Source organism: Homo sapiens, chromosome 1 (assembly GCF_000001405.40).
Source record: "Homo sapiens chromosome 1, GRCh38.p14 Primary Assembly".
In the NCBI taxonomy this organism is placed as follows: domain Eukaryota; kingdom Metazoa; phylum Chordata; class Mammalia; order Primates; family Hominidae; genus Homo; species Homo sapiens.
The window spans coordinates 116419067-116442133 of NC_000001.11; the positions used below are offsets into that span (position 1 = coordinate 116419067).

The 23067-nt window shown below is 41.2% G+C and overlaps 1 long non-coding RNA gene across 1 annotated transcript in view, besides 2 other annotated features; it reads right to left on the reverse strand.

Moving 5' to 3' along the window:
* Positions 1-4657: 4657 nt before the first annotated feature.
* Positions 4658-23067, reverse strand: part of LINC01762 (long intergenic non-protein coding RNA 1762) — a 55103-nt gene continuing 36693 nt past the window's right edge. The window contains exons 3-4 of the long non-coding RNA NR_125972.1: positions 9316-9428; positions 4658-4849 (exon numbers count right to left, since the gene is read on the reverse strand). This is a non-coding gene — a long non-coding RNA (long intergenic non-protein coding RNA 1762). The remainder of the gene's footprint in view (positions 4850-9315; positions 9429-23067) is intronic.
* Positions 7007-7508: an enhancer, noted in NCBI's record as "H3K4me1 hESC enhancer chr1:116968695-116969196 (GRCh37/hg19 assembly coordinates)". NCBI's record gives its function as "activates a minimal SCP1, AML or CMV promoter by ChIP-STARR-seq in primed H9 embryonic stem cells {active_cell/tissue: H9 hESC(primed)}" and the evidence as "EXISTENCE:reporter gene assay evidence [ECO:0000049][PMID:30033119]".
* Positions 7509-8008: an enhancer, noted in NCBI's record as "H3K4me1 hESC enhancer chr1:116969197-116969696 (GRCh37/hg19 assembly coordinates)". NCBI's record gives its function as "activates a minimal SCP1, AML or CMV promoter by ChIP-STARR-seq in primed H9 embryonic stem cells {active_cell/tissue: H9 hESC(primed)}" and the evidence as "EXISTENCE:reporter gene assay evidence [ECO:0000049][PMID:30033119]".

The following is a 23067-nucleotide window of genomic DNA, read 5'->3' on the forward strand; positions in this document are numbered from 1 at the left end:
ATCCAGGGTTGTTTTCCACTTTGTAACATGAACATTTTCACCGTGTTAGTACTGACGCTTCCTACCTATAATTTTTAATGGCAGGACTTTAAAAAATTGGGTTGATACGCTGTCACTTCTCTGAGCATCTCGCAAATGTTCAACATTCAAGTGGCTTCCAAAGCTTCACGATTATAAATTATTCATTCTTTTTTGTTTTGTTTGGTTGTTTGTTTGTTTGTTTGTTTGTTTTTTGAGACGATGTCTCGCTCTTGTCGCCCAGGCTGGAGTGCAGTGGCGCGATCTCAGCTCACTGCAACCTTCGCCTTCCAGGTTCAAGAGATTCTCCTGCCTCAGCCTCCTGAGTAGCTGAGATTACGGGCATCTGCCACCACGCCCACCTAATTTTTGTACTTTCAGTAGAGACGGGGTTTCATCATGTTGGCCAGGCTGGTCTCGAACTTCTGACCTCAGGTGCTTCTCCCTCGACCCGGCCTCGGCCTCCCAAAGTGCTGGGATTACAGCACTTTGCTGCCCAGCCCATTCTTGTGTATAAAGTCCTTTCAGTATTGAGATCAGTTTCCTTAGGTTATATTCACAGGAGTGAAACTGCTAAGTCAGAATGTGAGCATTTAAAAGCTTTCAGTATTATTGCCAAATGGCTTTTCACAGATGACTCAGGGAGGTTTTGGTACTTGGAACACTGCTACTTATATCCCACTCCCCCCCCCCCCCACCAGGAAAACATCTAAAGTGCACTTTTTTTTTTTTTTTTTTTTTTTTTGTGAGACGGTATCTCGCTCTGTCGCCCAGGCTGGAGTGCAGTGGCGCGATCTCCGTTCACTGCAAGCTCCGCCTCCCAGGTTCACGCCATTCTCCTGCCTCAGCCTCCTGAGTAGCTGGGACTACAGGCGCCCGCCACCACGCCCGGCTAATTTTTGTGTTTTTAGTAGAGACGGGGTTTCACCGTGTTAGCCAGGATGGTCTGGATCTCTGACCTTGTGATCCGCCCGCCTCGGCCTCCCAAAGTGCTGGGATTACAGGCGTGAGCCACCGCGCCCGGCTAAAATGCAGTTTCATTAAGAGATAGTGACCCTTTCTGAGAGTGTCTACATTTAATTGGGATCAGAGCTTGAAGTTGAAAATTTTGTGCCCTGGGACTTCAGACATCAGAAAACAGGGTAGGAAGATTCTCACGGGTTAGGATTTTTCTGGTGACCCTGAGTGGGGGAGCCACTTATTCTGCCTTCACTTAAGGCTAAACTAGACTCCCGGCCCTGCGTAGAGTTCTGAGGGACACCAGGGTCACAAGGCTAGTGAGACAGAGTTCATTTGGAAGAAGTGAAATAATTTAGGAATTCACAGAATATTGATGATGATATCCTTCCTCCTCCAGATGACAAGGTAATAAAGAATAATGAGATGTGATCATGGGAAATAGCCACCATGAGCAGCAGCCACCAAGGCACATAAATACTGTGGAATTGACTCTGCTGTCAGCTTGTGGGTTTCTGGAGTGACAGATTAAACCAAACTCAGTCCAGCTTCTTGTTTACTCTGTGTAAATCTACTCACTGTCCAGAATCTTCAGGCCGGTGTTGCCACCACTTGTTCTGTCTGTGATTCCCAGTGATGAGTAGGAGGTGACCAGCAGGCAGACTGTCTCCCTATGGGTAGGGAGCCTCAGAGTTCTGCAGGGACTGGGGTATAGGTAGAAGATGAAAAAAATATCCTTTCTGAATCAGCTCTTTGCCTGTCTGGGCAAACCCCTACGTTTCCTATCCACACTTTCTCTGCTCTAGGACCTAAGCCTTGGAGAGTTGCCCCCAGTTCATTGACAAGCTCCCTACACTAGAGTCCTTTTGTAGTGGGCATTGGGGTGCACCACCCAGATTTCTCTTTAGAACTGGTGAACTTATTCCCTCAAGCTGCTGGGGATTTGCTGGCAGACAGACCTCTCCAGGAAGTGCCTTAGCTGAAGAGAGATCCTCACTCAAGGTCACACCCCACCCCCCTTCCTGGAGCAGCCCACATCCAATGAGGTATACTTGTCTGGCACCCTCACCCCACCTTCAAAGTTCCCTATGGGGTCAGCAGAGACCTTTGTTGAGACTGCTTTGCAGCCTAACTTATCTCTCTGCACAAATTGTTTCTCATTTTCCTTCTATTCCAAAGGTGTTAATCCCAAGAGTATTCCTAATAAATGTCCCTCATGGAAGTTTCCATCTCTGGGTCAGCTTCTGGGAAGCTCAACCTGTGACACCAATCCCACATGAAATATTTATGTGCTACTCCATGAGTCCCTTGTTTAATAAACATTATCTAGCAATAACATGGGGATAAGGTCACAACTCAAAATAGACTAGCTTATAGCTTTGCAGCTTGTTTTGTGTCACTTTTTTTTCTGATTCTCACGAGCTCTGTCACACTACAACTCCTATTTCTAGGTGTGGAAGACAGAATAATGGCCCCGAAGACGACTTACATGGCATAGGGAAATCAGGATTGCAGATGGAATTAAGGTTGATAATCAAGTGATCTTAAAATAGGAAGATTGTACTGAATTTAACAGGCTCGATGTAATCACAAGGATCCTTAGACGTGGAAGAGGGAGGCAGAAGAGAGTGAGATGTGACTATGGAAGAGAATCAGGGAGATGTGAAAATTACTCACTCGCCATTGCTGGAGGAGATGGAAGAAGGGGGTCACAAACCAAGGAATAAATGTGGCCTCCAGAAAGTGTGAAAGGCAAGAAAATGGATTCTTCCCTAGAGCCTCCAGAAAAAAGTGCGGCCCTGCCAACACCTTTATTCTAGCCCATGTCAGATTTCTAGCCTAAAAAACTGTAAAATAATACATTTATGTTGTTTTAAGCCATTTAGTTTGTAGTGATTTGTTACGGCAGCAATAGGAGACCAAGACACTGGGCAAATCTGCTTCCTTCCCAAGGGCTCACTTATAGGCGAGGCCGCAGCAGAAACAGTGAGGAGGAAGCAGTTGGAACAGAACAACCTCTCACATGAATAACTCTTGGCCCTCCTGTCTTGATGCTACCATGAAAGAAGAAAGCATCTAATATTTCTCCATAATCTACCTCTTTAAAGTGAAATAATAAATCTGAGAATTTTAGCAGTGGACAAAAGGATAAAGTTCATCTGTATCAATGGCTTTCAAGCTTTCATTTAGCAGAGGAACATTTTTTAAAAATAGAGAATCACAGACAAACAATATCCAAGACATAAAAGTGGAGCTATCCTGATTGAAGCCCAAGGCCCATGGTCTTTCGCCTCCCCTGAGGAACTGAGGACGAAGGACAAAAACCATCCACCTAGGACACTTGGCCCCTGGACTGGAGAACAGCAAAACAAAAGTTAGAACTCAAGTCTCTACCTCAGCCTGGTGCCTAGGCAAAAAGATTGACTATAGGCTGTTCTCAGAACACTTGTGGGACAGCCTTCTGTGGTCAATGAGATTTATGCAGCATCACGGGACATCTGTGAATTTCCTATAGACAGATCTACACCTCTTCTTACATGTTTCTTGTGTATGTTGCACTTTGTTATACACTGGATCTTCACACCTAGAGCCAGTCCCACTGGAGATGTGAAATAAACAGCTTACTACATGATGTGACTGTGTGACAACACAGTCATCATCTGACTCCAAACCTCTCCCCCAGCAGTCCGCCAAGATGCCTGACACTCTACCATTGGAGTCTCTAAGGAATTGCCTACAAAAGGCTCCCTTCAAAATTTAAATACATTTCATTGATTGCAAGGCTCACACTGTATCATTTCTAAACATCTTTAAAATCAGGGCCTAACAAATCTCTGGACTCTTGCAGTTATAATTTTTTTAATGGTACATAAATAAATGTAGCATCTTGCAATCGATGTCATTTTAGATTTGAAGAAATACGGTATGTGACTTGGGTGGATGAGAAATAAATTAACCTATTAGCACCTTTGAAGGCTGAAGCAGATCAGAGTCCTCAAAAAATGGAGATAGGAGTGTGTGTGCATGTGTGAGTGTGCATGTGTGCAAGGTAGAGTCTCCGCACTAGCAGGGATCTCAGCAGACAAGAACAAGCATGACAGGGAAGGGAGGGAGACATGGGAAAGCTTTCTTGGGCTGTGTGGAGCTTATATTCTGACATAGAGATTGAATAAATTAAGATCCTCATTTGGATACATGGCAAAGGTTTTTTGGATTGTGTAAAGTTTATATTCTGACATAAGAAATTGAATAAATTAAGATCCTCATTTGTTCTTGGCAGCAAATGAGATTCCAAAATGGTTGCTAGAGTTATGTTACAATGACATTCCTTATTTCAGAGTCTATAATCAAGCAAATCAAGTTAATCAAGTAAATATAAAATATACAGTTTTAAATGTAACTCATTCATTCTACCAAATGGACATACTCATCATTTCTCTGTACTGGCTAAAGATCAGATGGTAGCTAACATGAGACTTCGCGAGTAACAGTTGGTCAACTAGACTTTTGTTTGTCCTTCCAGTCCATTTAGCTAAATGAACTATTAATTCATTTCACCAGCATCTTCTGCCTTAATCAAAGGTCAGCAGCCCAAAGGTATTTGCCAATCCTAGGATGACATTTAAGATCTAAAAAATAAAATATACTTTTGAAATACAGACATGCATTCATTAACTAATAATTATGATGAAGACAAGAGTTTATTATTTAAACAATTTTTTGTTTGAGAACAGAAGGAGAAACCAAAATTGCAATCCAGGGACTTGTTATTTCGTCTTCCCTGCTGCAAAAATTAGCTATCACTTGGTGTCCAGCCAAGGCCATGAAGTCCCACTTTGCTTGTCTTTCATTATAAATTTGGAGATGTGCTCCTCTGGAAAACAAATTGGCACTAACATATAATAAAATTCTCTGCAAAAGGACAACAGCCCTTACAAATCACACAGAGGAAAAACAACAGTTTTCTGCTAAAAAATTCATCATGTCACTGCCTGCAATTCACCAATATGGGTGCAAATGGTTGGAATATTTTTATGTTTGGCAGAAAAGATAAAGGTCTAAAGAAGAAACATCACTGATGGCTTAACTGAACAGAACATAATGAACTGAAAAATCTCTCAATTTTAGCAGATCCCTCTTCAGCCCTTAAAGCACTCCCAGTAGTGGTGCAAACCCTGTACTTAGGTTATCTTGCAGAAGCTACTGGCATTTAGCAATGCGCTAGCTGATCTGAGGGAAGGTACAGGGAGATATAGAGATGTAGAAGTTGACCACTGAATGCAGCCCTAAGTGAGCAAATGGACTGAGAGAGCTAAAAATCTTGCAAACAGGTACCATTTGTAAAATCAGTTCCCCTTGTTTCAAACTCATTAATGGTGTATTCCTGTATGCTGAGTTTCTGCAGAACATAGCCCATCTGGTTAGAAAAATGCCTACACCATAATTCAGCAGACATTTTCTGAAAATATACCACGTGCACGGCATTGAATGGGGCACCATGGAGGATACATATTGATATTGTAGAGCATACCTGCCCCCAGGGAGCTCACCGTCCATGGGAGGGACAGAAATATCCACAATAGGAAGATGAGCAGAGCAACAGTGTTGTCACCCAGTCACAAAGGGTAATGGGTGTGATGGGAGTCACAGAAGAGGGAGAGATGCATCCTGATGCTGGATGGTGGGAGGAATGGAGACGGTGTTCGGTCCACATCTTAACAGAAGAGTAGAATTTTAACAGGGAATGATGAAGAAAGTTCATTTAGGGCAGAAGACACTGTATGAACAGAAGAGATGATGGCAGGAAAATGCAGGGGTGTTTAGAGCAAGAGTGAGTTACTTGGGGTGATAGTGGTGGATAAAAAAGAGGCTGGATTGTGCTGGTTTGCCCAAATGTTGTCTGGCAGGACTGAGGAAACTGGGAGGCTGTGGATCAGGGGGGTATCCTATCAGGTCACACCATATGTCTTTGCCACCAATCCACCCTTCACGGGCTCAGAAGAGGGAGGAGTAAATGCCTATGATAGCCTGATTTTCTAGCAGTTACAGGAATCACTGCCCTGCACACAGTCTGACCTCATGCCTTAGCCTTCATCTACAGAAACCAAGGCTTTATTGTAGTCTAGCAGCCACTGCAACAAGCCCACTTGGAATCAAGACACCCCCAGGGATACCAGCCAAAGGGAGCAATGAGGGCAGAGCCCAGCCAACTGAGTGATGCTCATCCACCCCTCAACCTGGAGTTGAATTCACAGAGGTAAGCCCCACACTACAGTTAGAACATTTTCAACACCCCAAAAAGAAATCCTATTCCTCTTGGCCCCTCGGTTCTATCTACCACCTCCTCAAACCTAGGCAACCACTAATCTACTTTCTGTCTATAAAAATCTATAGAGATTTGTCTATTCTGAGCATCCCATGTAAGTGGGATCATGCAATAACACCTTTTGCATCTGGTTTGTTTCACTTAACAGAATGCTTTCAAGGTTTATCCATGCTGCAGCATCTATCAGTATTTTATTCCTTTTTTATGGCCAAATAATATTTCACTATGGATACATCACATTTTATTAATCCATTCATCAGTTGATGGATATTTGGGTTGTTTTGCTTTTTGGCCATTATGAATAATTCTGCTATGACCAGTTGTGTACAAGTTTTGTGTGGACATATATTTTTAATTATCTTGGGTGCATATATATGAAAGTGGAATTGCTGGGTCTTTTCTTCTCCATTCCCATTTCTTCTAGCACTTAACATGCATATCTATTAAATGAATAAATATCTGTTGAATGAATGAATAAAAGGCATCTCATCTTCTTAGAAGATTTTTTGGCAGTTAACTACAACACACACCAGCATTAACAACTACAATTGGCAGTTAAGCCTTGTCACACTTCCCTTTGTGGCTTATTTAGGTTGAGGTAAGCCAGGGACTCCTCTCACCTGCCTGATCCTTCTTGTGAAGCTGAGGAAGCTGGGGTGGGTGAGCAGAGTGAGCGTGGACCTCCCCAAATCACCCAGGAAGACAGAGGCTTGTCCCAACTCTGGCAGGTTCTCAGAGCAGCGAAGGCCCCAGAATCTGGCTGACTCACTCCAGAAGATGGAGCTGCCAGGAGCCCAGTCAGCCGCGATGGGGCTTCACAAGGATGGCACCTCCATGCTGGGCTGTGGGATGAGGACAAGAAGGGACAGGGGCTGCATTCCCACCGACCCACCAATCTAAAGATGCTCAGGGCCTGGTGTGTGTGTATGTGGGGAGGTAGGGGTGGTGGCCTGGGGCACATGCACCTGTATACACTTAGTATTCCTATGAATATGCTGCTACCCACAACCCAAGGCATATTATCAGTAATAAAGGGCCACATGGAGACTTGGAATTCTTATTCAGACAGCAGATGCCATGGTGAGGCCTCAGCCCATACCTCGTGCACCCTCCACACTCCTGCCCGGCTGGCACCGGGCTGCTCGGCAGGACAGCACAAGCACCGGGCAAACTGCTTTGGCAGCTGTAACCCAGATTTATTCAGGGCAATGGGCGGCTAGGCAGGTTCCCTCCCAGCTGGTGCTGGGTAGGGCCATGCCCTTCCACGGGCATCCCTATGGCATGCCAGGCTGGGTCAGGCTCCTCACAGATGGTCTGGCAACACATGCTCTGACCCAGCACACAGCTTCTGGGATTCATTGGTCCAAGCAGAGCTACAACAAGCGACTTGGATTTCTAGGGAAGGAGCAGAAGGAAACCCCTCCTGCCACCGAGGCAGGGCTCTGCCGCCCCCTTTCCTCCCCCTATTGACTTTCCATCTGCCCTTCGAGGCCCAGCTGCCCACACACAGCTCCTGCCTCTTGTCATTGTGGGGCCCACATGGACACCCCCTCCTTCCTGTGCTCTCTCATAGTTTGATGGGCTATTTTCTCTCCAGCAAGACTAAAATCCTTAAGGCAAATAATAGTTCTCCTTCCATAACAGCTTTTTTGAGACCTTCAGAACAGAGCCCCAAGTTCAGAAATCAGCAAAAACATTTTCTCAGCCTCATCAAGCCACTTTCATGTCTGATAGTCATACCCATTGACCTGGCCCTTACTCAGTGCCTCGGTGGTTCATGTAGCATGTAGCCAATATTTCGTGCCTAAATAATATTTCAGTCATTTTTTTAAAATGTCAAAAGGAGCACGTGTTCAACATAGAAAATACAAAAGCATTAAAAAAAAACACTACCCAACACCCCACATGCAGAAGCACCTCCTATAAAATGTTGGCGTGTATGCTCCTATTATTTTTCTATTTGTGTTTATTTATTACTTTTTTCAAAACTGTGATTCAAATGTGCGTGCTGTTTTACAACAAACATTATGAATAGATCATACTTCTATTTGATTGGATTTTTTTTGCAATTTTAATGGCTATGTAATATTCTATCACGTGGATGTCATGTGTTTTATTTAATCAGTGTTTAATTGTTCCTTATATTGATTGCTTTCCATTTCAAAATTTATAAATAATGCCATGATGAATAATCTTATACAGAAATAATTTTGCACACTTCTGAATATTCTTTTAGGATATTATGGGATCAAAAATTATAAACTTCTTTAAATATTTTTTTAATTTCCTTTAAAATAGAGACAGGGTCTCTTTATGTTACCCAGGCTGGTCTCAATCTCCTGGCCTCAAGCAATCCTCCCACCTCAGCCTCCCAAACTTCTAGGACTATAGGCGTGAGCCACTGTACCTGGCCAAATATTTTTAAAGCTTCTTAAACTCATTGCCTAATTGCCCCTCAGATGAGTTATAGCGATCTACGCTCTTACTGAATTTGCCTACAACAATTTGTAATAAGCATCTTCTGATTGGAATCCTCAAAATTAAGAGAGGACAAGGGCTGAGCAGGCCCAGTGGTATCAAAAGGTGGAGTAAGAAAAAGTAATACCCAGGCACAATGCTATGCAGAATGGAGAGCCATGTGTTCATAAAAATACCTATATTTGTCAAGAAAATGTTACACCGTCCCACACACTCCCTACCCCCAGTGTCCTCTGCTGTAAGAGGCAGGCAAATATATAACACATTTTAGAAAGTGTTCCTTCCAAAGCCAGCACAAAAGCAAGCGTCCTTTCAGTGGCAGAGCGAGGAGGAATCTTGGTGTCAGGAATCCTGAGTCTCAAGGCCCAGCTGGTCTGCCATTCCCACAGAAACATACCCATCGGGTGCCTTCAGCCTGACCCTCAGTTTCCCCATCCAAAAGTTACAAAGATTATGAGAAGCTACACAGTGGGATTATGTGAGCATCAAACATGATCAAGTATGCCAAAATACTTTGTCAACAGTCAAACGCTGACCTTATTGCTGAGACTGGATGCTTGAAGCGGTAAGCACTGTTCACTTGAGAGGAAGATGTTCTTCCCTGGAGACACTGGAAGGACAGAGAGCTGCTGCAGTATCCCCACAGCACCTAAGAATACAGGAGCTGCTATCAGCGACTCTTTTCCACATTGCAGAGGCTGAATAAGAACTAGTTTCTGTAAGTCACAGGAGGAGAAAGCAAAGACCTTTGCCTATTTAAATTCCGGCCCACAAGGTTCTGCTCTAGACATGGCCAATTCAAAGCTTTTATTGGTCCTTCATGTCATGGGGATTTAACTGCTCTACATTTGCAGGAAGCTTAATTGGCTCCGTTGCTAGAGGATCGGCTCCTACCATTTTCCTTTACATTCGTGGCAGGCCTCAGAGGAAAAGGTGGAAATAATCATGTTCCAAGGTGAAATGAGGTGATGTGCTGGAAATCGCTTGGAAGTGTATAAAATACTAGGCAAAGGTAAGGTCTAATTGTCACCCCTGCTGGTGGAAGCACTAGCTATGCAGGAGAGCCTGTGTAGCACAGTCAGGTGAATTCCAGTGTCAGATCCAAGTCGTATTGAGTCCTCTGTCCCCTACAAAGTGCACGACATTGGGCACATTATTTTACCCACAAACCCTTGTTTCCTCCTCTTTCCAGCACCTTCAGCTCCCTGAACTTGTCTTTGTTCATGTGTTTGCTGACTGCCTTCTTCCACAGAAGCAAGCTCCAGGAGGCAGGGAGATTTTCAGCCTTGTTGACTGGAAGATCCTAAGACAAGGAAGAGCACCTGCCTCCAAAATTAGTTGTCAAACAAATGAGTGCCTCTGGCACTCCCTTAGGACACTGTCTCCAGGAATTCTGTTTTGTCCCTCCGACCACTTCAAGGACTCAGCTTGATGTCTGGAATAAGGGTGACAAGTTAGGGTTGTCAGTGGGTGACAAGAGGATGGGCAAGGAGGGGATGCCAGTGGAAAAATAATTAACTTGCATGAACTCAACAGCAACTTCCTTTAGGAAACTTGACCCACTCCTTTTTTCAAAAAATATAACCACTAAAGGGATTGAGATTTTAGCATGGAATCTCTGTGGGCAATAAGCATTCCTAAAAGGGAGTGTTAATTTTAGATTGAAAAACACTCCTTGCTTTTGAAGAACATATACTCAATAAACATAATGTTTCCACTCAAAAAAAAAAAAGATGAATAGACTGACTCCAAACCAGAAAAGCTTAATTCTTCAAGTGTATATGGCCCCATACAGGCCAAAGCAGTCTTTCTGCCAAGACAGCACTTCCCACTTCATGCCTCCCTTCCTCTCTGCACCTCTGGAGAAAAGGCAGCCAGCTGCGGTGGGACAGGGTGCAAGGAAGCCAGCCTCTCCTAATAGAAATGGTGGGGCTACAAGCGCTGAATCAGACCTGGGCTCTGCCTCCGGGCCAGGACCTTACACTCACCAGCAGCTGTCAGGCGTAGGGACCTGCTCAGGACCAGTTCTGCTCTGCATCTACATTCCTAGCAACATATGTTGAGTGAACGATGGAGGAGAAGCCAGCTTGAATTAATGAGTGAGTGAATGAATGAATGGATGTGTGTTGAGGATGTGTGTGATGTACCAAGTACTGTAGCAGGCACTGTCACCTACTTCTTCATCATCTGCACAGCAATTCTGTGAAGTGGATGGTCATGCCTATTCAAGGTCAGAGAACTCAGGCAGTTTGCCAAAGAACTAACCCAGTACTCAACCCATGGTTTGGACCTACCAGATAGCTGATAAAAGCTCTATTTTGGGCTTACTATGTGAGGAGTTCATAAGTACTTTAATCTCTCTTTCTTTCCCTTCCTTCCTTCCTTCTTTCCTTCTTTCCTTCCTTCCTCTTTCTTTTTCTTTCTCTCTCTTTCTTTCTCCTTCTTTCTTTCCTTCCTTCCTTCCTTCTTTCTTTCCCCTTCCTTCCTTCCTTCTTCCTCTTTCTTTTGAGATGGAGTCTTCCTCTGTCACCCAAGCTGGAGTGCACTGGTGTGATCATGGCTCACTGCAGCCTCGACCTTCCAGGCCCAGGCAGTCCTTCCACCTCAGCCTCCCAAGTAGCTAGAACTATAGGCGTGGTGTACACCACCACTCCCAACTAATTTGTTTTTTTGTAGAGATGGGGGTCTCACCATGCTGCCCAGCCTGGTCTCAAACTCCTGGGCTCAAGCAATCCTCCCATCTCAGCCTCCCAAAGTGCTGGGATTACAGGCATGAGCCACTGCACACAGCCTAATTTTTTTTTTTTAAAGGTGGTAGGAAAGGAAGAGTTTCAGCACTATTATCTGAACCTAGAGAGGGTCTCTTGGCACTGCGCATGTGCTATGGGATCTACAGTGAAAAATTTGAGAGAGATAGTTACTATATTAAACAAAAGAGTTGGGATCCAGAAGATCTTGAAGGTTTGAAGGAGGAGCTGGAATTAAAGTAATGCCCTACCCCCAATTTTTTCAATTACAAAAATCAAACCAATTCACTTAACGTCCTGTCAGAGTCATTAATCTAACTTTATACAGAGGGGGGAGGAGAGCTTGCAAGAATCAGTAGTGATTCTTGTCATTAATTGGCTATGTCACAGCACTTACCCTGTGGTAGTCTAATTATTAGAGGGAGGGGGCAGGGGCAGGAAAGGATTGGGTACAAGATCAAGATTAATGTAGCTGTAGGGCAGTCCTCAAGGCCAGTAGACTAAACTACAGCACTTGGTAGGTGCCTGAGGAAATTACAGGAGTTACATGGTCATTGCAGGTTCTATCTCGTTGTTCCCATCTTATGAAGATGTAGTGAGGATTAGGTGAAATAATATATTAAGAACTTAATGATGCCTGGTATATAATAAATACTTAATAAATATTAGTCATTGCTGTTTTTTCCAAGTCTTCCATGTTATAAATTTCTGTGATGTATATTTTTATTTACATGAAGTATTTTCCTCTTCAGGTTTATTTTCTTTAGCTAAATTTGCAAAAGTGAGATACCTGAATGAAAGGGTACAAGCACCCTTAGATCTCATGATAGTTCACACATATTATCAAATTACTTTCCTAAATCATTATAATGATATATGCCATGACCAGCCACAAGGGAACCATCACTAGCACTGGTTCTTTTTTTTTTTTTTCTTTTTTGAGATAGAGTCTTGCTCTGTCACCCAGGCTGGAGTGCAATGACTGCAACCCTTCACACCCCGGGTTCAAGCGATTCTCCTGCCTCAACGCCCCGAGTAGCTGGGATTACAGGTGTATGCCGCCACGCCCAACAAATTTTTATATTTTTAGTAAAGATAGGGTTTCACCATGTTAGCTAGGCTGGTCTCGAACTCCTGGCCTCAGGTGATCCACCCAACTCAGCCTCCCAAAGTGCTAGGATTACAGGCATGAGCCATCATGCCCGGCCACACTGGGTATTATTATTGATTTTTATTTATAATAATTGGATTGATTTTTAGGGTTGATCCTTCTACAAATACCTATCCAGAGAAGCAGTGGGCTGAGTTTAGCTGGATACAGGGTAGGGCCAACCAACCCAACTAGAATGGAACTGAAGGCAGGAAAGGGCCTCTCAGGTCAGGGAAGACTGATAAGAAAACTAGCAAGGATATGACCATTCTCAGGTGCTCACAGCAGGAAGGAGTGGAGCCATAAGATGCACACTGACCCCGCATCAGGAATGCTGCAGATAAACCCAGATAAGAATGAGAGACTTCTGAGGCCTGAATAGTTTGTTCAAGGAAGAAAGAAAGGACCAGTGGCAGGCAAGAAAAGCTCACAGAAGCCCAGCCCGTGTTGCCTGGCAGGAGAGGTGATAAAAGGAAGGGTCCCCAAATTACACCTTTCTGCAGAGGAATAAGAAGAAGAAACCTGTTGGGAAATCCAGGGACACGATACCTTATAAGGACTTCTGGTCACCGGAACTTGGTACTTTTCTGTTGTTTAAGCCACTCAGTTTGTGGAACTTCGGTAGGCGGCCCCAGCAGACAATGCAAAGGTCCTCCTGCATCTAGCCTGCTTTCATCCCTCTCCTCAGCTCTCAGTATTGCCCCTCATTCACTCTCCTAGCACAGCCGACCTCCTCCTAGTGTATGGAGACACTAGGCACACCTCCACTTTGGGCACTTTTCAGGGCTGTTCCCTCTGCCTGGAACTTCCTTCTCCCCAAACCTGCCTGACTCCCTCCTACACCTCCTTCAGATCTTTACATCAATGTCACGTTCTTAATAAGGCTTTTCTTGACCACTTTGTTAAACATTGGACCTTCCCCTACTCCCACCTTCTGGTTCCTCTTACCCTGCTCTGTTCTTTTTCCTGACAGCCCCAGCCCCTCTGACATACTATACTATTATACTCTCCTTGTTTGTCACGTTTATTGTTTCTTGTCTGTCTCACTGCATTGGAAGTTGCATGACATGATGCTAGGAATTTTTGTCTGTTTTGATCACTGATTCCTCTCAAGTGTCTTGCACAGTGTTTGACACTTAAAAGGCACTCAACTGATGAACAAATGAATGGTCTTGAGTGGCTGATGTGTGTGTGAGGTGTGTGTGTGTGTGTGTGATTTCAGTGCTTACTCTATGTCTACCCCATGCTAAGCACTGCTTGAATGCCCATGGAAACCTCTTAACAATCCTATGGGGCAATAATGATTATCTTCATCTTACGTAAACAAGGAAACCAAGACTCACAGAGACTAAGAATCTTGCCTATGCTTCTTCTGTAAGTTGGCACATCAGAGTCCATATTCACACTCCAGGCTTTCCAATCCCAGTGCCACACTGGTTTCTTGCTGGGCATTGGCAAGGGCTCTGTTCAGGAAAATGCCCCATGCCCCGTTTCCTAGGGATCAGGGTAGTAGCCCAGGGCAGCTGCAGCCCAAGGCAAGTGTTTCTAGAGTGGCCCTGAGCCACAGCTGGCTACCACCCAGCTGGTGATGGCTCAGGCTTCCAGGCTTGGCTCACTGATGATCAGCAGGGTCCAGATCACCCTGGATCTGCCACTCACACGTGTGTCTGGGAGGGTGAGAGAAAGGGAAGATAAGAGAGGGCAGTAAATGAGGGCAGGGAGCAGCAGGCTATTGAAATTCTACACTCACTAGGAGCCAAGTGGGCCGGGAGGCTGGTATTACTGGCTGTGCTCAGCGGGCACCCAGTGGGCAGAAATCCCATTGCCCAGTTCTCCTGGGGCGGGGGTTGAAGGGCAGACTGTAACTCTGTAGTTGTATTGTGATGGCGAAGGAGGAAACAAGAGCAGCTGATCCGGCCTGGATCAGGAGTGCCCACGTGCAAACAGACAGGCCTTTGTGTCCTGGGCCCAGACAACAGGCTGCATTCTTCCCCCACCTCAGTGACGTCCTTCACGAACATGTCCTCAGAGTGCGTTTTCAAAGGATTAATCAGCTAAGGATCAGATGACACGGCATTCCCTGTTACCCACTCTTTGCTGTAGCTGTGCCTTCACTTGTCTCTGAGCACAGAGTGGGGGGCCAGCCCCAGCCCTGCCCTTGGGGTGCTTACAGTGGGCCCCAGGTAGCTGCAGGCCTCAGAGATCTCAGCTGTCAGAATCTCAGAACACAGGAGCTGAAAGGGCCCAAGAGCAAGTCTGTCCCCTGCTTTTTATTGGAGAGGTGATGGAGTAAGCGATAGGGCCATCACTGGGACCCAGGGCTCCTGCCCCTGACAGCAGTGTCATCTGGTAGGAGCGTTAAGCTGCCCCACAGTCTGGCAGTTACATCAGCCCCCACCAAAGGACCTAGATCACCTCCTGGAGAAGCCTGAGGGAGATGGGTTCTTGATGAAGGTAGACTTAATTCTCACTAGGCTTGATTCTGACTGGTTTCCAAAGCAAATGGCTTTCCTTGCCCAAGCCAAAAGCAGGAGACAGGAAACACCCAAGGATGTTTATTGCTGTCCTGCTTAACCACACTGTGGGACTCCCGAATGATCAGTTACCTTGTGAAATGCTTCTTTCTCTAGATGGACAAAAATGTCCCTTGGATACTAAAACGGCCATCTTCCCTGGCTTTTTGAGATCATGCTCTCAGAAATTAGAAGACTTGGGTTCTGCTTCCAGGTATGGCAACTTCAGACTGCAAAATCATAGAAAAGAAGCTCTCCTAACCCCTAATAACCACTGATCTGTTCTCCATCTCCATAGTTTTATTTTTTTCAAGAATGTCCTATAAATGGAATAATTCAGTATGTAATCTTTTTTTACCTTCAACTTTTAATTTTGAGATAAATGTAGGTTATGCAGTGGTAAAGAATAATACAGAGATTCTATGCGCACTTTACCCAATTTCCCTTAATGATATTGCAAAACTATAAGGTTGAGATATAGAATATTTCCAACAGCACAAGGATTCCTCATTGTCCTTTTATTCCCACACTCACTTCCTTTCCACCCCCACCGACTCCTTAATCCCTGGCAATCACTAATCTAGTCTCCATTTCTAAAGTCTTGTCATTTCGAGAATGCCATATTTAAGGAATCATACTGTATGTAACCTTTTGTGATAGGATTTTTTCACTCAGCATAATTCTCTGGAAATGCATCTAGATTATTGTCTGTATTATCGGTCATTCCTTTTTCCTGCTGAGTATTATTCTGCAGTGTGGATGTACCAGAGTTTGTTTAACCATTCACCCATTGAAGGATATCTGGGCTGTTTCCAGGTTTTGGCTACCATGAATAAAGCTATTGTAAACATTAGTCTACAGGATTTTGTATGAACATTTGTCTTCATTTCTCTGGGATAATTGCCCAGGAGTGTAATTGCTGGGTCATACGGTAGTTACATGTTTAGTTTTTAAAGAAACTGACAAATCATTTTCAGATTGGTTGTAACATTTTTTACTTTCCTGCCAGCAATATGTGAGTAGTCCAGTTTCTCTACATCATCATCAGCATTTAATGTTACCACGATTTGTTTTTAGCCATTCTGATAGGTGTGTGGTGATAAAATTGTCATCTTAATTTTCTTTTCCCTAATGGCTGATGATGTTGAACAACTTTTGATGTGCTATTTACCATTTGTATATCTTTTTCAGTGAAATGTCTGTTTATGTCTTTTGCCCATGATCTAATTGGATTATTTGCTTTTTTATTGTTGAGTTTTGAGAGTTCTTTATATATTCTAGATACTAATCATTTGCTGCATATGTGATTTGTAAATATTTTCCTCCATTCTGTAGCTTGTCTTTTCATCGTTTTAACAGGAGCTTTTATAGAACAAAAATTTTAAATTTTCATTAAGTCCAACTTATCATTTTTTCTTTCATGATTATGTTTTTGGTATTAAGTCTGAAAACTCTTTGCCTAGCTGTAGACCTCAAAGATTTTCTCCTAGTTTTGGGGTAAAAGTTTTATATTTTTGTGTTTTACATTTAAGTCCATGATCTATTTTGAGTTAACTTTTGCTTAAGGGTGTGAGACTTAGGCCAATATTGGTTATTTAGTTGGTTGGTTGGTTGGTTGGTTGATTGATTGATTATAGGTGCCTATAGGTGTCCATTGGTGACAGCATCATTTGTTGAAAGGCTTTCCTTTCTCTATGCAGTTGCTCTTGACTCTTGTTAAAGTCAGTTGGGCATAAAATGTCCAGAATAGGCACATTTATTGAGGCAGAAAATAGACTAGTGGTTGGTCTAGGGCTATGGGGGAAGTTGCAGAAAAGTATGGGTCACTGATAAAGGGTACAAAGTTCTTTGGGGGGTAATAAAAGTGGTCTAATATTGATTGTGGTGATGGTAGCATGACTCTGAATATATTAAAAACCACTGGGTTTTACATTTTAAGTAGGTGAGTTGTATGGTGTGTGAACTATATCCCAGTAAAGCTGTGACCAAAAGAAATCAGTTTGGCATATTTGTGTGGGTCTATTTCTGGTTTCTGTATTCCATTCAATCGGTCTATGTGTCTATTACTTTGCCAATACCACAAAGACTTGATCACTGTAGCAGTACAGTAAGTCTTAAAATGTGGCAGATGGTTTCCTTTCACTTTATTTATTTTTTCCAAAATATTTTAGCTAGTCTAGTTCCTTTGCCTTTTCACATAGATCTTAGAATGATTCTATCCATGTCTGCAAAAATCTTATCAGGGTTTGGATAGGTACTGCCGATCCTCTGTATCAATTGGTTTCACATCTGTAGATTCAACCAACCAAGGATCAAAATATTTTTTAAATAAAAAATAACAATGCAACAATAAAAAATACAAATAACAATACAACATATCAACTATTTACATACATTTAATTGTATTAGGTATTATAAGTAATCTAAAGATGATTTAAAGTATATGGGAGGCTGTGCTTAGGTTTTATGCAAATACCATGCCTTTTTATTGAGGGACTTGAGCATCCAAGGATTTTGGTATGGAGGAGGGTGTCCTGGAGCCAATTTCCTGAAAATATCGAGAGATAATTGTATCGCAATAAGTGTATATCAATTTGGGAGAAATTGACATCTTTGTTAAATTTTCCAATTCATGTTGTGCAGGAGATGGGTTTTCTGAATATATATGTAGGAAATATATATAGGAAATATATATATATTAGAAATATATATAGGAAATATATATATATTAGAAATATATATATAGGAAATATATATATATTAGAAATATATATATAGGAAATATATATATATTAGAAATATATATATAGGAAATATATATATATTAGAAATATATATAGGAAATACATATATATAGGAAATGTATATTTTATATTTATATATATATATATATATATATATATATATATATATATATATATACAAAATTTCCAATTCATGAACATGGCATGTCTCTGCATTTATTTAGATGATTTCTTTCATCAACGTCATGTGATTTTCTGAATTTAAGTTTTGTACATTTTGTTAGACTTACCTAAGTATTTATTTTTTTAAGGCTATTGTACATGATATTGTATTTTTAATTGTAGTGTTCAAGTCTTCACTGCTAGTATATAGATGTATGACTGATTTTTGTATGTTTGTCTCGTACCGTTACATTGCTGAATTAATTGATTAGTTTTGGATGTTTTTTTGTGGATGCCATGTCATTTCTAGGCAAATAAGCATTTCATCTGAAATAGAAACAGTTTTATTTATTCCTTTCTGATCTATATGCCTTTTATTCTCTTTTCTTGCCTGATTAAACTGGCCAGAACTTCCAGCACTATGTTGAATAAGAGTGATGAGAGCACACATCCTTGTTTTGTTGCTGATATTAGGAACAAAGTATTCAGTCTTTACAATTAGGTATAATGTTAGCTGCAAGTTTTTCGTAGATGCTTTTTATCAAGTTGAAGTTTCTTTCTATTATTGTTTTTCAAAAAAACTTTTTATCATGAATAGGCATTTAATTTTGTTGAATGCTTTTTCTTTTACATCAGTTGATATGATCATCTAATTTTTCTCCTTCTTTTTTAGTCTGTTAACATAGTGAATTACATTGATTGCGCCAGCCTTATATTTCGGGAATGAACTCTAATTGGTGACTTTTTATATATTGCTAAATTCTATTTAGCAACAGAATACTTCTTTTTATATATTGCTAAGTTCTATTTCCTATTTTCTTAGAAATTTTGCATCTGTATTCATGAAAGATATTGTTCTGTAATATTCTTTTTTTGTACTGTCTTTGTCTGGTTTTGGTATGCAGGTAATACCAGCTTGATGAAATAAATTGGGGTGGGTTCCTTCCTATTTTATTTTCTGGAAAATATTTTGTAGAATTGAAGTAAATTCTTCTTTATTCTTTTTTATTCTCCAAAGACACCATTTAAGCCTGAAGATTTCTTTGTTAGGCGTTTTTTCACTACCAATTAATTCCATTTATTTAGTAGCTTTGGGCTATGCAAATGATCTATTTCATATTGGGTGAGTTGTAGTAGTTTGTATTTTTGAATAGATTTGTCCATTTCATGTAACTTGTCAAATTTGTGTGTGTAGAGTTGTTCATACTATCTTTTTTTATTAACCATTTGATGCCTCCATGGTCTGTAGTGATATGCCCTGTTTCATACCTGATATTAATAATTTGTGTCTTCACTCCTTTTTTGTCAGTCTTGCTAGAGAGGTTTGTTGATTTTATTGATCTTTCAAAGGATCAACTTTTTGTTTCATTGATTTCCTCTACTGTTTTTCTGTTTTAAATTTCATTATTTCTGTGGTTAATTTTATGATTTTCTTCCTTCTGCTTGCTTTGGGCTAATTTTTTTCTTCTTCTCTATGTTCCTGAGACGGGAGTTTAGATTATTGTTTTGACACTTTCCTCCTTTTTCTAGAGTATGCATTTAGTGCTATACATTTTACTCTCAGCACTGCTTTAGCTGTGTCCCACAAAAATTTTGTTGCATTTTCATTTACATTTAGTTCAATGTAATTTTTAATTTCTCTGAGACTTTCTCTTTGATTTATGTATTATTTAGAAGTTATTTAGTTTCTAAGTGTTTGGTCATTTTTTCCATTTTCTTTCTGTTATTGATCACTAACTTGAGTTTATTGTGGTCAGGAGAACACACTCTGTATGATTTCTTTTAAATTTGTTGAAGTTTATTTTATGGCCCTGGATCTGATCTATTTTGGGATATGTTACACTGAAAATTGAAAAAACGTATGCATATTCTGCTGTTGTTAGGCACAGTATTCTATAAATGCTGATTAGATCTTTGTGTTTTTGTTTTGTTTTGTTTGTTTGTGTGTTTGTTTTTTAGATGGAGTGTTGCTTTGTCACCCAGGCTGGAGTACAGTAGCATGATCTCGGCTCACTGCAGCCTCCACCTCTTGGGTTCAAGTGATTCTCCTGTCTTAGGCTCCTGAGTAGCTGGGATTACAGGAGTCCACCACACCTGGCTAATTTTTGTATTTTTAGTAGAGGCAGGGTTTCATCATGTTGGCCAGGCTGGTCTCAAACTCCTGACCTCAAGTGATCCACCCTCCTCGGCCTCCCAAAGTGCTGGGATTATAGGCATGAGGCACCGTGCCCAGTCTATATCTCCTTATATAGCTTTTTCAATAGTTTCTTTTGGTATTGTGTTATATGTCCACATCATAGTCTACTGCTGCCATCACTTTTTAAAAATTCTACTCCTGTGACACACCATCATTTTATCAGTACATATGAGGTGTAGAAACCTTAGCCTCCCTTTATGCCTTTTTATCCTCTCCTTATTATAATTTTCTTAAATATTTCCTTTTCACATTTAGAACCACCTAAGACAGTATTATAATTTTTACTTCAATTATCAAACAAAATCTAAAATACTCGAGGAATCTTTACCCATATTTTTGATTACCATGTTTTTTTTGTTCTTCCTGCCATTCCAAGATTCTGTCTTTTATCATTTCCTTCTGTTAGAAAACTTTGTCTAGCCATTCTGTTAGAGTAGGTCTGCTAGTGATAACTTTTCTTAGTTTGACTTCATGTTCACTGAGCATGTTTTCATTTCCCCTTCATTCCTGAGGATGTTTTCCTTGGATATAGGATTCTGAGTTAACATGTTTCAACACTTGAAAAATGTTGTGCCACTTCCTTTTGCCTCCATGGTTTCCGATAAGAAATCCACTGTTATTTGAATTATTTTCTCTTATGAGTAAAGTATTATTTTTCTCTTTGCATTGAAGACTTTTTTCTTTGTTTTTAATTTTCTGAAGTTTGCTCAACATATGTCTTGACATAAGTTTCTCTGGTTTTATCCTATTTGGATAAAACTTTTAGAATCTGCTTTAAAAATCTATAGGGTTTTTTTGGTATTTTGCCAAATTTGGGAAATTTTCAACTATTGTTTTTTCAGTGCTTTTTCAGCTCTGCCCTTTATCTCTTCTTCACTCCAATGACAAAATGTGTTTTTTTTTTGTTATGGCCCCACAAGTGCAGAGACTATTCATTTTTTTCTCAGTGTTTTTTCTCTCTGTTGTTCACATTGATGGTAATTTGGGTAATTGCTCTATCTTCAGATTCGATGATTTTTTCCTCTTTTTCCTTCATTTTCTTATTGAGCCCATTGAGCTTGTTACTTTCATTATTGTATTTTTTCATTCTCAAATTTTCATTTGGTTCTTCTTTATACTTTCTATTTCTTTACTACTTTCTGTTTTCATTTGTTTTAAGAATGTTCATAATTGCTTTTTAATGATGGCTCCTTTAAAATCCTGGTTAGATAATTCTAACATTTCTGTCATCTTGGTGTTGGCATCCGATGATCATTTTCTTTTTATTCAGTTTGAGATCTTCATGGTTCTTGGTATGATAAATAATTTTCTATTGAAACCCGGACATTTGGGGTATAAGTTATGAGATTCAGGATCTTACTTAAGTCTTCTATTTTAACAGACTTTCTCTGACACTGCTGGGGCAGGAAAATGGGAGAGAGACACTATTTTATTACAGCGAGGTGGAGATGGAAGACCAGGCTCTTCACTTGGCCTCCACTGACACCTGAGATTGGGGCTCCTTATCACTGCTGGGCCGGGATGGGAGTTCTAAGTCTCCACTGTGCCTCCACTGACAACCTCCTGGCTCGGTGAGGTAGGGTTGCTTCTTACTGATCTCCACATGGCCACCACAGGCACCATGGGGGTGAATGGCTCTTTACTCTGTGTAATGATGAAAAGCCCTGACTCTCTGTGAGTCCTGACGCTACCCCAATGGGGAGCAGGACAGGCAACTTCTTGCAGCCTGTTAAATGTTTAGGTTCCACATTTGATCATTGCTGGTATGGAGGTTACAAGTTTTTTGCTTTTTTGTTTTTTTTTTTCACAATGGTTGTCACCAGTAAAGCAGTTAATTTCTAAAATGTTTCTGTTTGGTCAAGATGCCCTTTCCTTAGTTGTCTGGCTAGAGAGAAAAGACTTTTGTTGGAGCTTTTTTTTGTCTGCATTCATCAGCATTTCCAGATTGCCAGTTTCTTGAGCACCCATTTTTGGGTATATAAGGCAAACAACAACAACAACATAAAACAAAAAAATACCACAGGAAGTTCAACCCCTTGTTGTTCCTCAAATCCTAAGGTCGCTAGCTGGTCTGCCTTCTTCTCTCAACCCTCGATTTTCTTTTCTTTCTTTTTTCTTAACTTTTGTTTTAGGTTTGGGGTTACATGCGAAGGTTTGTTACATAGGTGAACTAGTGTCACAGGGGTTTGTTGTACAGATTACTTTATCATTGAGGTATTAAGCCCAATACCCAATAGTTATCATTTCTGCTCCTCCCACCTTCTACCCTCAAATAGACCCCAGTGTTTGCTGTTCCCTTGTTTGCGTTCATGAGTTCTAATCATTTAGCTTTCACTTATAAATGAGAACATGTGGCATTTGGTTTTCTGTTTTTCTGTTCCTGCATTAGTTTGCTAAGGATAATGGCCTCCAACTCCGTCCATGTTCCCACAAAAGACATCATCTTGTTCTTTTTTATGGCTGCACAGTATTCCATGGTGGATATGTATCACATTTGCTTTATCCAATCTGTCATTGACGGGCATTTAGGTTGATTCCATGTCTCTGCTATTATGAATATTACTGCAATGAACATTTGCGAGCATGAGTTTTTATGGTAGAATGCTTTATATTTCTCTGGGTATATACCCAGTAATGGGATTGCTGGGTTGAATGGTAGTTCTGCTTTTAGCTCTTTGAACCCCTCAGTTTTCTTATGCTTGTTTTATATATGATTTCTAGGCTACTTATCTTGAGGAGTGGAGAAAAGCATATCTTTTTCTTCCTGGAAACAGA